General features: G+C 47.6%; 1 protein-coding gene across 30 annotated transcripts in view, besides 1 other annotated feature; it reads right to left on the bottom strand.

The window, feature by feature from the left end:
• Nucleotides 1–16,722, bottom strand: part of PPARD (peroxisome proliferator activated receptor delta) — an 85,621-nt gene that overhangs the window by 68,174 nt on the left and 725 nt on the right. For 9 of the 30 annotated variants that reach the window (XM_005249193.2, XM_017010973.2, NM_001171818.2 and 6 more), the window contains exon 2: nt 12,855–12,938. The exons of 2 other annotated variants lie outside the window; for them this stretch is intronic. Coding sequence is in view for 1 of the 28 variants with exons in the window: in NM_001171819.2 (NP_001165290.1) it covers nt 12,855–12,867 (13 nt within the window). In the remaining 27 variants the exon portion in view is untranslated. Of the gene's footprint in view, nt 1–6,954; nt 7,123–8,308; nt 8,428–11,001; nt 11,643–12,854; nt 12,939–16,722 lie in introns of all 30 variants that reach the window. 19 more of the 30 variants (XM_047418923.1, XM_047418920.1, XM_047418921.1 and 16 more) reach the window with 10 other exon arrangements.
• Nucleotides 11,082–11,331: an enhancer, noted in NCBI's record as "active region_24399". NCBI's record gives its function as "activates an Ori minimal core promoter by ATAC-STARR-seq in GM12878 lymphoblastoid cells {active_cell/tissue: GM12878}" and the evidence as "EXISTENCE:reporter gene assay evidence [ECO:0000049][PMID:35858748]".

Below are 16,722 nucleotides of genomic sequence, written 5' to 3'. Positions count from 1 at the left end.
CCAGTCAAGCAGGTACTTTCCAAACTGGAACAACTAGATCCAGCCAGCCATCCTTCCTAGAAGGCCCTGCTATGTAGTGATCAAAGACATGGGCTTTAATCACTTGGGTTCAAATCCCAGCTCTGCCATTCATTAGCTGTGCAACTTTAGGCAATTTTCCTAACCAGTCTGAGCCTCAGTATCCTCATCTCTAAAAGGGGTACAATGGTTCCTACCTCTCAGGGTTGTTGTGTGAATCAAAGTGATATATGTAGTGATCAGCACAATGCATTCAACATGTGGGAGCCATATTCTACTCAGATCGTTACTAGGTTATCTACCGGCTCAGCCATGGAAAGGGGATTAGACACAGGTGGGGATAGAAGTCAGCTGTGGGAGTCCCACTGGGGAGACCAAGAGGGGTGAAATGGAAAGAAACAGCGGGCCAGGGGGGTTGGACTTCCTCATGGGCTGAAGAAGGCCATGGAGGGGAACCTCTCAGAAACCACCCAGAACTACGCGGTGAATGGCCAGCCTGCACTGCTAGATACACAGTGCCATGCCAACACTGCCATGGAACTGCTTTCATCATTCAGAAAGAGGAGGCTGCTTTTTCCCCCTCTTCTAATATTTTTAAGTGACTATGTTTGCCTGCTGGTAGTCCCTAAGTATGATGGGATAAATATCCCATGGAAAGGAACTGAGGAACATGGGCCTAAAACTCGTGAGGTGGTGTGAGGGGGAGGAGAGGAGAAAGAAGGGGCAAAATGCCAAGCAAAGTAAAAGCTGTTATGGCACTTCAGGGCCACCAATCTCGTCTCTAACTTCATCTCCTGGTCTCCTCCCTCCCTCTGTCCAGCCACGCTGGCCTCCTCGCTATGCGTTGAACACCTCAGCTGTGTCCCAGTGCAGGGCCTTGGAACTTGCTTTCCCTCTGCCTGCGAGATTCTTCCCACAATAGTTCACTCTCCTCTTTCCACTTAAATGTCACCTTCGTGGTGAGACCTTCCCCGGCCCTCTATGTGGAACTGCCACTACCCTCCTTTCTGCTTAGTTTTCTAGAGAGCATCTGAAGCCATCTCACATGCTGTTGACTTAACTCTGGCTCCCTCCACTTCCCCCACCTCAGTTACCACGAGAGCAGGAGATTTTTTATCTGCTTTGTTTATCCCTTCATCCCCAGTGCCTAGCACATAGGAGGTACACAATAAACATTTATTGAATAAATGGAAGAGGAGAGGGGAAGATGGAATTAGAATCAGATTTTAATAATCCTACATCCTCACTGGTCTGAAAGAACTCTTTGTTCATGATATCACTGAAGGTGCTGGGAGAGTTCCAAAGCAAGGATCGGGTACCATATGAGGCTTTCTCTCTTGCTTCCAAGAACTCCCCAACAGGTTCCCCCAAAGTGCAGATTGTTTCAAATACTGGTTCAGGAAAATGCTGGGCCTATGCTCTCCTTGTGCCATGAGAGGGACGCCTTAAAATAAGAACAGGGATCAGCCAAGCCACCACTTGTACCTGGAGGCAGATGAGCCCTGTATTAGTTTCCTACTGCACTGTAACAAATTACCACATTACCACAAACTTAGCGACTTAAAACAAAACACATTTATTCTCTTACAGTTCTAGAGGTCAGAAATTCAAAATTAGTTTCACTGGGCTAAAATCAGTGTGTTGGCAGGGCCACACTTCCTCCAGAGGTTCTAAGGGAAAACAGTTTCCTTGCCTTTTCCAGCTTCCAAAGCTACGTTCGTTGCATTTTTGGCCTTCTCTTCCACCTCCAAAGCCAGCAGTGTAGCATCTTGCTGCAGTAGTCACATTGCCTCCTTCTCCTGTGTCCAATCTCTCTCTCTGGCCCCCACTCATAAGGACACTTGGGATTGCATTTAGGGGTCCACCCAGATAATCTAGGATAATCCCCTCATCTCAAGATCCTTAATTTAATTACATGTGCAAAGTCCATTATGTCATATAATATTCACAGGTTACAGGGGTTATAAAGGGGTATATTTTGGGGGCCACTATTTAGCTTACCACCAAGGAAGCAAGCTCCAAAAGTTTGGAAGAAACACAGTTCAGATCCCTGGTCCACATGAAAGAAGTGTCAGATTAGGAGCCTTGGCAGCGTCCCCAGGCCAGGGTCTTTCTTTAACTGTAACTGCTTGCTATTTAAATAGGCAGCAGGCCAGGCATGGTGGCTCATGACTGTAATACTAGCACTTTGGGAGGCCGAGGCAAGTGGATCACTAGAGGTCAGGAGTTTGAGACCAGCCTGGCCAAGATAGTGAAATCCCGTCTCTACTAAAAATACAAAAATTAGCTGGGTGAGGTGGCGCATGCCTGTAATCCCAGCTACTTGGAAGGCTGAGGTAGGAGAATTGCTTGAACCCGGGAGGCGGAGGTTGCAGTGAGCCAAGATCACACCACTGCGCTCCAGCCTGGGGCACAGAGTGAGACTGTCTTAAAAAAAAAAAAAAAAAAGTAGGCAGTGGAGAGTTAATTTTACGGAACTGAGCATTCTGGCCCTTGGAGGATGTCCTTGAAAGGGAAGGGCAGTTTTCTCTTCTCCAGTCTGAAGCCCCCAACGGAGTGCTGAGCACTACATACCAGGATGTGCGTGCTGAGGGTCAAGGGGAATCCATCAGGATCTCTGCACTTTCCTAAAGGCTTTTACACAGGAGAGGGGGCTGCAAAGAAATGGTCTGGACCACATGAACAAGCTCTAGATCAGGATGGCAGAAGTGCCGCCTCTCATGAGTGCAGCTTGGGGTGGAGGGTTCTGAGAACCCATCTGGGCTTGGAGAGGAAAACTGATGTGGTCAGAGTGCCATGACCACCAGGTCAAACACTAGGAATGGGCAGGTCAATGGCAATCTACACACTGTGACCAACCCTAGTCTACATGGCACCTCTGGATGCTAAGGGAAGGTGGCTTCTAACCAGACACAAAATGACTTGGAAAAGCACACCCTGAGAAACATAACTGCTCCAGGGAAGAGCTGTACATTGTGGACACTCTCCTCTGTTGTGCAGACATCATATGCTTTCTTTCTTCATTGGAATATGCTGTTAATTGTAAACCATTTCCCATCACTCCTCCCCAAAGCCCTCAAGGGCCCAGTGAGATAACTGAAGAGAGTAAACTTCTAATGTAAGAACAATATGCTTCTATTACCAGGTTTATTGATGTGAGGTTCGCCAGTGGACCCAGCTGACCAGCAGTATTTAGTGAATAAATGATAGAGCAGTGACTCTCAACCAGGGGTGATTTTGCCCCCTAGGAGACATTTGGCAATGTCCGCAGACATTTGGGTTTTACAGCTGGGGAGGGGAGAAGAGTGTCACTGGCACTTAGTGTGTAGAAGCCAGGGATGCTGCTCAACATCCTACAATGCACAAACAGCCCATACAAGAGATGATTATCCAGCCCAACATGTTTACAGTGCTAGGGCTGAGAAATCCTACACCAGAGGAACAGGAACTAGGAGGCAAAGAGAGTCAACAGCTATGAGCATGGAGATGTTTTAGGCAATTAAGGGAAACAAAGGAAGAGCATGCTTTGCTTGCTTGTTTGGAAAAGGGGGTAATGAGTAGAGAGCTCTGGATTCTGACAAACTTGAGAACAGCATGTTTATGAGGAGAGAATGCAGGGCGGCCTGCTCAGCTACTGCTGCCATTTGGAGAGCAAAGTTGGCTTGTACTTCCACTGGACTGGTGGCAAGGAACTCTGCCTCTGCGATCAACTCTTGGATGAGGAGTGTGCCAAAAGCAGTGATAAGGATCAAGTGGTCCTAGCAGATCACAAATGAAAGCAATGAAAATCAGCTGTTAGATACCTTTTAGTATCATGATATGGAAGTGAACTTAAGCATGAAGCAGTTTCCCACACCACTTGGCAACCTCCCTTCAGCATCCTCCTACAAGAGAACTCTTTCCAAGCTGAGTTACCATTAGCTGTGGAGAACTTAGTAACGGTCTCAGGAGAGCTGCTGAGGTGACCATGAGGCTGGGTAGAAGTTAGGAGTGAAAGAACTTTTCTGGGGAGTCTTTCTGAATCTGCTGTGATTCTGAGGGCTGCCCGATTAAAAAAAAAAATTATATAAGAAAGAGGTCGGGCATCGTGGCTCATGACTGTAATCCCAGCACTTTGGGAGGCTGAGACGGGCGGATCACAAGGTCAGGAGATCGAGACCATCCTGGCTAACACCGTGAAACCCTGTCTCTACCAAAAATACAAAAAATTAGCCAGGAGTGGTGGCGGGCGCCTGTAGTCCCAGCTACTCGGGAGGCTGAGGCAGGAGAACGGCGCGAACCTGGGAGGCGGAGCTTGCAGTGAGCCGAGATCACGCCACTGCACTCCAGCCTGGGCAACAAAGCGAGACTCCGTCTCAAAAAAAAAAAAAAAAAAAAAAAAAAAAAAAGAAGAAGAAGAAGAAAGCACTTTTTTTTTTTTTTTTTTTTTTTTTTACAGACAGGGCCTTACTCTGTCACCCAGGCTGGAGTACAGTGGTACAAATATGGCTCACTGCAGCCTCAACCTCCTCGGCTTGAGTGATTCTCCTACCTCAGCCCCCCAAGGAGTAGGAACTACAGGCATGTACCACCACGCCTGGATAATTTTTGTATTTTTTGTAGAGACGGGGTTTCGCCATGTTGCCCAGGCTGGTCTTGAACTCTGGTGTGCTGGGACTACAGGTGTGCGCCACCGTGCCCAGATAATTTTTGTATTTTTAGTATAGATGGGGTTTCCCCATGATGGCTAGGCTGGTCTCAAACTCGTGGCCTCAAGTGATTCACTGTGCCTGGCTGGAAGACAGGACTTCAATGAAAAAAAAATGGGGTGCTGCAACGCACTCCCCTGAATGCCAGGAGCTATTTAATGGAAGATGAGGCTCCCAGGCTGAGGCTGGGCTCCCTATGCCCAAGCCTGTAAATCTGGGCTGGTTCAGAAGTCACTCCTACCTGGGCTCACCCCCTCAGAACCCAGCTTGACAGAAAGAGGACAAGCCAGCATTTCCTGAGGTTCATTTTAATCCTCACAGGGAAGAAAATGAAGGCTCAGGACATTCAGTCACAAGCCCATGGTTAGAAGGTCAGTCAACACTGGAGCTGAGTCACACCGGTCTCCAGCACAAAATCCACTCAGGCCTCTTCACAGACGATGAAATGGCTACAAATGTTCCTCAACTTATAAGGACAAACCCATCATATGTTGAAAACGTCACAAGTCAAAAACGCATGTAATATATGTAACCTGCCGAACACCATAACTTACTTAGCATAGCCTACTGCAAATGTGCCAGAACATTTCCATGAGCCTACGGGCAACATCATCTAACACAGAGCTTATGTTACAATTTTGAATATCTCATGTAATTGAATACTGTACTGAAAGTGAAAAAACAGAATGGTCGTATGAGAACCGGGGCACGGTGGCTCATGCCTGTAATTCCAGCACTTTGGGAGGCCGAGGTGGGCAGGTCACCTGGTCAGGAGTTAGAAACCAGCCTGGCCAACATTGTGAAATCCTATCTCTACTAAAAATTCAAAAATTAGCCAGGCCTGGTGGCAGTCGCCTATAATCCCAGCTACTCAGGAGGCTGAGGCAGGAGAATCACTTTAACCCGGGAGGCAGAGGTTGCTGTGAGCCGAGATCACACCACTGCACTGCAGCCTGGGCAAGAGTGAGACGCCATCTCAAAAAAAAAAAAAAAAGAATGGTTGTATGAGTACTAAAGGATGGGGCTTCTGTTGAATGTGTATCGCTTTTTTTTTTTTTTTTTTTTTTGAGACGGAGTCTCGCTCTGTCGCCCAGGCTGGAATGCAGTGGCATGCACTCGGCTCACTGCAAGCTCCGCCTCCCGGGTTCATGCCATTCTCCTGCCTCAGCCTCCCAAGTAGCTGGGACTACAGGCGCCCACCACCACGCCCAGCTAATTTTTTGTATTTTTAGTAGAGACAGGGTTTCACTGTGTTAGCCAGGATGGTCTCAATCTCCTGACCTCGTGATCCTCCCACCTCGGCCTCCCAAAGTGCTGAGATTACAGGCGTGAGCCATGCGCCCAGCCGTGTATGGCTTTTACATCACTGTAAAGTTGAACCATCATAAGTTGGGGACTGTCTGTATTAAAGAAAGGGTGAGGATACCAGATGCTAAAACCCAGAAGCCAGTGCCTCAGGGAAACACAGAAGGCACCAGCTCTTTGCTAACATGTTAGCCCCATACGGAGCCTTCTCTCAGCTTCAAGTAGTTGCTCCAATCTGACCTCCTTCAAATTCTTTCTGCTGTGTGCCCCTCCTGACTCCTTTCTTCCCCTACTTTTGTCCCTCTTCCTACCATTCTCTAATTTGTCCTCCCCATTCCTTCCTCTGGCTCCACTCCTTGCTTCTATAATACTGAAACTGAAGCGTATTTGAAACATGGTTAGTGGTGTTAAATGAAGTTTCACCTTTCTTGCTTTTTATTTTTGAATAATTTATGCTTAACTTTTTATGTGCTTTGACAATAAAACCTAAATTTAGTTGCCTTCTAAAGTTTGTGAACTCTTAATCTCTCCTGTGCATCAACAGCCCTAAATGGATATGGGGTAGGGATGGGTTATTCCACCCTGGCTCTGGGTGCTTAATCTGTGTGGCTGAAATATCAAAATCAATACACTTAAATTGCAACCAGAGGAACTCAGATTTAATGTGAAGAAGAATTTCCTTACATTTAGACCACTGCAGTCCCCTACCTATCCTCTCTATCTCCATTCCTAATCTACCTTTTTGCAATATTAACACCACCACTCCTTGCTCCAAAACCACTGATGGCTCCCCCATTGCCCAAAGAACAGAGTACAAATTCCTTCACCTAGCATTCAATGTCCTCCATCAACCTATTAGGAATTTCCTAACTAACAGTAGCTTCCAGGAATGAAAATCATGAGAAGATGTGCTTTTCTCTTGGAAGTATCAAGACCACATTACCTCACATAAGGATGCTGAAAAGTAGTAGCTGGTCTCCAAGGAGGCCTGTTTCTCTCCTCAGTGAATCACGCCTCTTAGTATTCACACCCTTGTGTAGTCCTCTCCTTGAATCTGAACTGGTCCTGAGACCAAGGGAATAGAGGAAGTGGCACTGTGTAACTTCCAAGGCTAGGACATGAGAAACATTGACATTTCTTTCTGAATCTCTCAATACATTCATTTTGGGAATGCTTCTGCTCAGAACCCAGCTCTCATGCTATGAGAAGCCCAAGGCACATAGAGAGGTCATGTATACGCACTCCATTCAACAGCATCAAGTGCCACCCATGTGCCTAAGCCAGCGTGGACACCCAGCCCAGCTGAGCCTTCAGATGACACCTGCCCCGTCTTCATTTGACTATAGCAACATGACATATCCCAAGCAAGAACCACCCAGCTGGGCCCAGTTAATCCACAGAACCATGAAAGACAATAAAATGCCAATTTAAGAATGTCCTAGATGAATAAATAAAAACTAACTTTATTAAAATCTCCACCTTTGATATCTGTCTTTTAAATATTCTTTGTGGCCGGGCGCGGTGGCTCACGCCTGTAATCCCAGCACTCTGGGAGGCTGAGGTGGGCAGATCATGAGGTCAGGAGTTCGAGACCGGCCTGACCAATATGGTGAAACCCCATCTCTACTAAAAAAATACAAAAATTAGCCGGGCATTGGGGTGCGCGCCTGTGGTCCCAGCTACTTGGGAGGCTGAGGCAGAAGAATCACTTGAACCCACGAGGCGGAGGTTGCAGTGAGCCGAGATCACACCACTGCACTCTAGCCTGGGTGACAGAGTGAGACTTCATCTCAAAACAAAACAAAACAAAACAAAAAAGAACTGGCTGGGCACAGTGGCTCATGCCTTTAATCCCAGCACTTTGGGAGGCCAAGGCAGGAATGAATGGCTCGAGCTCAGGAGTTTGAGACCAGCCTGGACAACACAGGGAGACCTGATCTCTACAACAAGTTAAAAAATGAGGTGGGCATGATGGTGCATGCATGTAGTCTTAGCTACTTGGGAGGCTGAGATGAAAGGATCACTTGAGCCTGGAAGTCAAGGCTAGATACAGTGAGCCAAGACTGTGCCACCGCACTCAAGCCTGGGCAAGAGTGAGACCCCATATCAAAAAAAAAAAAAAAAAAAAAAAAGGCTGGGTGTGGTGGCTCATGCCTATAATCCCAGTAATTTGGGAGGCTGAGGCAGATGGATCACTTGAGGCCAGGAATTCAAGACCAGCCTGGTCGATGTAGCAAGATCACAAGACACCATCTTTACAAAAAATTTTAAAATGAGCTGGGCATGGTAGCACATACCTGTAGTCCTAGCTACTCTGGACGCTGAGGCAGGAGGATTACTTGAGCCCAGAAGTTGGAGGCTGCAAGTGAGCTATGACTGCACCACTGCACTCCAGCCTGGGTGACTGAGGGAGATGCTATCTCAGACAAAATCAAACAAAAGAACCAACAGTATGTTACCAATGATAAAAATCAAACTTTCAAGAGAAAACTCAAATTTAGAAAACGTGTATTGACCACTGTGAGCCCGACAGCTTCCCAATACTTAAAGACTTTTTAAAAATGAGATCAGTGGTGATATTAACGAATGTCACCCGCCCGGCCTATTATAACTTCTAACATGGTAAACATAAGCCCTTGGGGTCTTCAATAATTTTTAAGAATCTAAAGGGACTGGCGCAGTGGCTCACATCTGTAATCCCAGCACTTTGGGAGGCCGACGCGGGTGAATCACGAGGTCAGGAGATTGAGACCATCCTGGCTAACATGGTGAAACCCCGTCTCTACTAAAAACACAAAAAATTAGCTGGGCGTGGTGGCGGGCACCTGTAGTCCCAGCTACTCGGGAGGCTGAGGCAGGAGAATGGCATGAACCCGGGAGGCGGGGCTTGCAGTAAGCCGAGATTGTGCCACTGCACTCCAGCCTGGGTGACAGAGAGAGACTCCGTCTCAAAAAACAAAAACAAACAAACAAACAAAAAAAGAATCTAAAGGGATCTTGAGGCCAAAAAGTTTGAGAATGCTGTTTTATAATATTCTAAAGTTGACTTCAAAATAAGCCATCTTTCGCCCAGGCGCGGTGGCTCATGCCTGTAATCCCAGCACTTTGGGAGACCGAGGTGGGCAGATCACCTGAGGTCAGGAGTTCAAGACCAGCCTGACCAACATGGTGAAACCCCATCTCTACTAAAAACACAAAAAATTAGCCAGGCATGGTGACACATGCCTGTAATCCCAGCTACTTGGGAGACTGAGGCAGGAGAACTGCTCGAACACGGGAGGCAGAGGCTGCAGTGAGCCAACATCACGCCACGCCACTGCACTCCATCCTGGGCAACAGAGCAAAACTCTGTCTCAGAGAAAAAAAAAAAAAAAAAAAAAAGACACATAGACCAATGGAACAGAATAGAGAACCCAGAAACAAATCCACACATCTACAGTGAACTCACTTTTGACAAAGGTGCCAAGAACATACACTGAGGAAAAGACAGTCTCTTCAATAAATGGTGCTTGGAAAACTGGATATTCATATGGAGATGAATGAAACTAGACCCCTACCTCTTGCCATCCACAAAAACCAAATCAAAATAAAGACTTAAATCTGAGACTTCAAACCATGAAAGTACTACAAGAAAACAGGAGAAAATCTCCAGGACACTGGTCTGGGCAAAAATTTCTTGAGCAATACCCCGCAAGCACAGGCAACCAAAGCAAAAATGGTCAAATGGGATCACATCACATTAAACAGTTTCTGCACAGCAAAGGAAACAATCAACAAAGTGAAGAGACAACCCACAGAATGAGAGAAAATATTTGCAAACTACCCATTTCACAAGGGGTTAATAACAAGAATATATAACGAGCTCAAACAACTCTATAGGAAAAAAACGAATAATCTAATAAAAGGATGGGCAAAAGATTTTAATAGACATTTCTCAAAAGAAGACATACAAGGCCGGGTGTGGTAGCTCATGCCTGTAATCCCAACATTTTGGGAGGCTGAGGCAGGCAGATCACTTGAGGTCAGGAGTTCGAGACCAGCCTGGCCAACATGACAAAACCCCATCTCTACTAAAAATACAAAAATTAGCTGGGCGTGGTGGCGGGCGCCTGTAATCTGAGCTACTTGGGAGGCTGAGGCAGGAGAATCGCTTGAACCCAGGAGGTGGAGGTTACAGGGAGCCAAGATTGTGCCATTGCTCTCCAGCCTGGGTGACAAGAGCAAGATTCCATCTCAAAAAAACAAAAAAGAAAAGAAAAAAAGAAATATACACCTACTACTATGTACCCATTAAATTAAAAAAAAACAAAAACAAACAAAAAAAAAACTTAGCCAGGCACAGTGGTGTGCACCTGTAGTCCCAGCTACTTGGGAGGCTGTGGTGAGAGGACTGCCTAGGGAGGCCAAGCTTATCCAACCCATGGCCCATGACTGCATGCAGCCCAGGAGAGCTCTGAATGCATCCCAACGCAAATACGTAAACTTTATTAAAACATGAGATTCTTTTGCCATTTTTATTTTTAGCTCATCACTATTGTTAGTGTTAGTGTATTTTATGTATAGCCCAAGATAATAATTCTTCTTCCAATGTGGCCCAGGGATGCCAAAAGATTGGACACACCCCTGGTCCTAGGTGATATAGCAGTACCCAATCAAGAAAGAAAGAAGAGGCCGGGCGCGGTGGCTCACGCCTGTAATCCCAGCACTTTGGGAGGCCGAGGCCGGTGGATCACGAGGTCAGGAGATCGAGACCATCTTGGCTAACACGGTGAAACCCCGTCTCTACTAAAAATACAAAAAATTAGCCGGGCGTGGTGGCGGGCGCCTGTAGTCCCAGCTACTCAGGAGGCTTAGGCAGGAGAATGGTGTGAACCCAGGAGGCAGAGCTTGCAGTGAGCCTAGATCGCGCCACTGCACTCCAGCCTGGGTGACAGAGCGAGACTCCGTCTCAAAAAAAAAAAAAAAAAGAAAGGAGAAGAGAAGTTCCTACCTGCGACTGGGAGCTCAAGGCTCAGGGATGAACTGGACAACTGACCCCTGGAAATGCACGTACAATTGCTGCCACTGGGCCTGGCTGCTGCTAAAGCAAATGGCAAAGCAAATCAGTTCAACTCAGTAGCTCTCCCCGCTCAGGAGGTACTTTGACCTCTTCCCTCTTGGGGAACCTCAGAAGTCTCTGAAACTCCCCCCTTCTTCCTCCCTCACATTCCCTTCAGAGGAAAGCACTTGGTATGGGTTTGAAAGCAGGAGGGCCCCCCACCCAGGACCTTCCTGAAAGATCTACAAACAACCTGACCCCCACAGACAGAGAGACACAGGGACTCACCACCCTGTCTGACAACAGGAAAACCTGCAGGGTGTTAAAGGCAGAGAAGGGGAAGTGAAGCCCACAAACAGCTACTGGAACCACTGAACTTCAGAGATTAAAACAAATCAGGCAGGAGGCCCACGTTTCCCCGGCCCCCAGCAGGGACCCACAACAACCCAGCCTTCCAAATAGGACAATGAACATTGTATTCCCTGGAGCTCCACTTCTGAGAGTTTATAAAACCTGCCAGGCATCCTGAGAACATGGAAACAGCAATGGGAACCCAGAGCATTGTTCAGACTCTTGGTGAGAACCTCCTACCCCTGCAGAGATGGAAGAAACAATTCTGTGTGTTATGGCCAGCTCTCATATATACCAGCAAACCACAGACCCATGAGGCAGAGATTGGATCTGTTTTTTACTATTATCATTTCCCAAGTGCCTGGCACATAGTTGGCACTTAAAAATATTTGTTCCCGGCTGGGCACAGTGGCTCACATCTGTAATCCCAGCACTCTGGGAGGCTGAGGCGGGTAGATCATCTGACATCAGGAGTTTGAGACCAGTCTGGCTAACATGGTGAAACCCCGTCTCTACTAAAAATACAAAATTTAGCCAGATGTGGTGGCGCATGCCTGTAATCTCAGCTACTCAGGAGGCTGAGGTAGGAGAATCGCTTGAACCTAAGAGGCGGAGGTTGCAGTGAGCCGAGATCACGGCATTGCACTCCAGCCTGGACAACAAGAGCGAAACTCCATCTCAAAAAAAAAAAAAAAAGGCCAGGTGCGGTGGCTCACGCCTGTAATCCCAGCACTTTGGGAGGCTGAGGCGGGCGGATCACCTGAGGTCAGGAGTTCCAGACCAGCCTGGCCAACATGGTGAAACCCCATCTCTACTAAAAATACAAAAATTAGCCGGGCGTGGTGGCAGGTGCCTATAATCCCAGCTACTTGGGAGGCTGAGACAGGAGAAGCACTTGAACCCAGGAGAAGGAGGTGGCAGTGAGCCAAGATCACGCCATTGCACTCCAGTCTGGGGGACAAGAGCAAGACTTCGTCTCAAAAACAAACAAACAAACAAAATATATATATATATATATATTTGCCCCCTAATAAGAGAGAATGATGGACACCATCTTTGTGGCCTGGCACCCTAGGTACCCATATAGGCAAAGACGAAAGTTCGTTCATTTACTCATTCAACAAAAATTTATTCATTATCTCCTCTGTGCCAGGCACTATCCTAGACACAACAGGCAGCAAAACAACTCCCTGCCCTGTGGAGTTTATCTTTTAATGGGCGCAAAGGTGGGAATCTCCATGCTCCTGAAAAAACTATGTAAGCCATAGACTTTCAATAATTACTTAATAAATGCCTATACTATGCATAAGCAACTGGTACCAGATGCTGTGACAGGAACCTGGAATCTGGGAATAAGCCCTAGTGAAATTATTTCATCTTCAAGGTCAGGATCTTAAATCTGGATCCTGTGTCAGTGGTGGTCAGAGACCCCTGAGTAAAGAAAATGGGATTACCTCGTTGGTGCATCTGTCTTCATCTGTTGGTGAGCAGAAGCCACTGTGTGAGTATCACGTGCATGCCCAAAACACTGTACAACACTGCAGGATAGAAAAAACCCCAACAGCTTTAGCTGACAGGTGCCAGGGGCCCTCAAAGCAACTCTAATAAGTTATACCCACCGTAACTCAAAGAGTGTTCCTAAGGTAATCTGGCTCCTCGTCGGTCCCTTACACACCACCCTGAGATGTGATTCTGAGCCTGAGTCAGCAAATATTTCCCCAATCCTGGAAGGAGTCTGCTCACTCCCAAGTAAGCAGACACTGGCTTTGCTGATTTTATCAGGTCGGCGCAGAAGGCGCAGGCAAGGTAAGAAGGGAGCTGGGTAGAAGCTCATAAATGAAGATGTCCTGAGTCATAGTTGATGCCTTCACCAAAGCCCCTGCAGAATGAACTGGAGTCACATGCCAATCACCAGCCTGCTGAGTTATGAAGGCTAGGAGCCATCTGCCAAGGAAGAAGACCCATATGTCTGAAACCTGATGCAAGGGGCCATGTTCTCCCTGCCAGGCTCAAGGCAAGCTCCAAGGGCTCCTCTGACACCCTGGAATCCAGCTGTTGCAAGCAGCTCCTCACCCTGGCTCCAACGGCAGAGAAAAATGTGCATGGACACCAAACCATCTCCAAGAAGCAGCCATTAGGTAATCTGGGACATGGCATTGACAATGGCACCGGGCACAGGGCTTCTGACATCATATAAGCAAGGGCCTGGCAGAACGGACAAAGCCCACAGAGACCTGGGTAGGGAGGAAGAGAATGTTTCCAGTGTGGGCAATGCTGAGCAGTAAAGCTGTGTCCTGCAATTTCCAAGCCCTTCAGAGGCACTGGAGCAAGGCACCACTGTTCAGCTTCCCAGCCTGCAGAGAGCACTCAGGGAGGTGGGCCTCAGGGACAGGATATAGCTGAAGCCCTTAGAAGTGACAGGTCCAGGCTGGTTGTGGTGGCTCACGCCTGTAATCCCAGCACTTTGGGAGGCTGAGGCGGGCAGATCACGAGGTCAGGAAATCGAGACCATCTCGACTAACACGGTGAAACCCTGTCTCTACTAAAACTACAAAAAAAAATGAGCCAGGCGTGGTGGCGGGCGCCTGTAGTCCCAGCTACTCAGGAGGCTGAGGCAGAAGAATGGCGTGAACCTGGGAGATGGAGCTTGCAGTGAGCCAAGATCGCACCACTGCACTCCAGCCTGGGCGACAGAGCGAGACTCCATCTCAAAAAAAAAAAAAAAAAAAACGAAAAAAAAGTGACAGGTCCAACTCCTGAGAGAGAGGAGCTGCACTATCCCAGGATGTGCCAGAATCTGCAGGCCCTGAAGACAGCTTGCACAACAGTCAGGACAGCTGTAGGCCCAAAGCAGAGGCCTAATGGCTTCCCAGGCTAGTGCTCTACACTGTCTATCCTCTTACCAGGCCCTAAGGGAAGGCGTCTAAGGGACCACAGGTCGGGTTGAAAGGCTGAGTAGGAGCAATTCTTCCTGAATGGGTTAAGGCATATATCACACAAGAAGGCCATGGTGAAGAGGCAAGGAGAAAGGCACCTGAACGAGCAGTCAGTGTAATCTCAGTGCTCTGAGAGGCCAAGGTGAGGAGGACTGCTTGAGGCCAGGAGTTCGAGACATTGTGAGAGCCTGTCTTTACAAAAAAATTGTTTTTTAATTAGCTGAGTGTGGTGGTGTGCACCTGTAGTCCCCGCTACTCTGGAGGCTGAAGCAGGAAGATCCCTTGAGCCCAGGAGTTCGAGGTTACAGTGCACTATGATAGCACCACTGCACTCCAGCCTGGGCAATAGAACAAAACCTTGTGTCAGAAAAGAAAGAAGGAAAGAAAATCCAGACCCAGACTCTGCAAAAATCACTGAATGGGGAAGGAATTTGGTAATTGACAATCATGACTACCTTCTCAGAAAATGAGAGTGGACAAACTGCAAGAAGCTATCCATCTAGGGCTGCTGGTGCCCAAGCTGCTCCACAAGGACTGGCCTTGACCTGTTCTCAAATCTCTCACCTGCCACCACAGCAGAGAGCACTACTAAGGGGTAAGCACGGCCAGAAGTAACAAACTGCTCAAAAGAGTAAGGAGGAGTCCTTGAAAGCCAGAGACTAGACTAAAAATCTGTCCAACACTTGACCTCTACCTCTTTAGAATGATCCACTAAAACCCTGGAGAGATGCTATTCACAGGAACAAGGAAAACCCTCTGGTCCAGTCTACCCAAATCTTTGCAAGTGCTGCAAAGGGGGTCTGGGGGTCAGTGGAGAAGGGACTGGCTCAACAACAGGCCATCCACAATCCTATTGCTTTCACAGAAAACAGTGTACAAGAGGATTACAAAACTTTAAAGTCTGGTCAAGCTGGTTCCTTTGGCTCTCCACCGCAGCTCCTAAAGGTTGCCAACTCCCATGTCCAATCTGGCTCAAAGACAGCACAATCATCAAAAGAGGAGCCCCTAGAAACCTGGGGCCAGGTGAAACAATGAGCCTTCATTTCTAAACATGAGAGTGGGTCACGCTTTCAGAATCCTCCAAGATCAGACTGGGTAGAAACAAAGGATATGTTATTTCTTGAATACTTCTTTAGAGAACCAACGCCAAATAAAGGAGCTCAAACTGAAGGATATGACGAGAATCTTCTGCTTGGTAAGGTTAAACATCCAGACACACATGGAAGGTGGTGGGCTCTCAAGCCCCAGAGAAGATGATCTATGTGACTGGAAGCAGATGTGTCTGCTCAAGTTCCTGACAAGGTCTAACTACTGCAGCCCCACAGCCCACCAGGGTAGTTATCAATCTGATACCTCATACTATGCCTGGGCAAAGGGAACAGAGCTCTGGGATTGCCGTTCCTCCTGGATACAGAGGAAATTAAGCTCCCAGGGAAAAAGAGGGACAATTTGGATTCCCTAGATTCAGAAAAGAACAAAGAAAAAAGAGGGAGAAGAGACTCCAAGAGAACATGTTCAGTGACCAACATCAGAGGCACATTCAGTTGGCCAAAGATTGTCAAAGAGATATGAGAGAAAATCAGCAGCTGTTTCAAGCCACCAATAATAAAAGGGGACAGATGCCCGCCAGCCCCAGGGCTATCAGGCCAGCAATCTATTTCAAAACTCAAACGGGAAAAAAAAAAGTTCTGGAGCCAGTACACAGAAAAAAGGTTGAGGACCACAAGTATTTTCTGGAGCACAGCTTCTGGAGAATTCTCTTAGTCCTTTCGGATGGAGCACAGGGTGGAGGGTGGGAGTGAGGGCAGAGAGAGGCTGGGGTATCATGGTATAAGTGTATTCCACACATCCAGAGTGGAAAGACACAAAACCCCGGTTCCTGGAAGGGGAAAAGAATTGGACAAAGCCTCCGGCTACCCGTGGCACACATCCAGCTCAGCGCCGTCTCCCCCAAGGGTTCCTGGAAGTCAACAGCCCCATAAAGGGGAAGTATTAAAGCTGAGATAAGAAGAATGGCCTACAAATTGGACATCATCTCTGATGCAACACCCACGTACATTCTCCCACACAATCTGTTATTTCCTTTAGTCAATCAGCCTCTTAATTCGATCAAGGTCTGAACACCTCCACCCCCACCCCATGGTTATGTCAACTGCAGGTCAAGTGAAAGTAGAGTAGAGTGTGGAGCTAAGGCTTCTCCCTGAAGCAGGGGAAAGGAACAGGGAGAGAAAAGGAGGTGGGCGACAGGAATGTAGGGGACAGAATTGATACGAAGGAAATCGGAAAAAGGAGCAAAAACAGGGCCTCTCAGGGAACCAAGGTGAGAGTCTTAGGGAGACAGGGACTGCAGGCACGGAGTTGGAAAAAGCCTAGGAACACCCTGGGG

The sequence above is a fragment of the Homo sapiens genome, chromosome 6 (assembly GCF_000001405.40).
Source record: "Homo sapiens chromosome 6, GRCh38.p14 Primary Assembly".
In the NCBI taxonomy this organism is placed as follows: Eukaryota; Metazoa; Chordata; class Mammalia; order Primates; family Hominidae; genus Homo; species Homo sapiens.
This window is presented reverse-complemented; position numbering and strand designations above follow the sequence as displayed.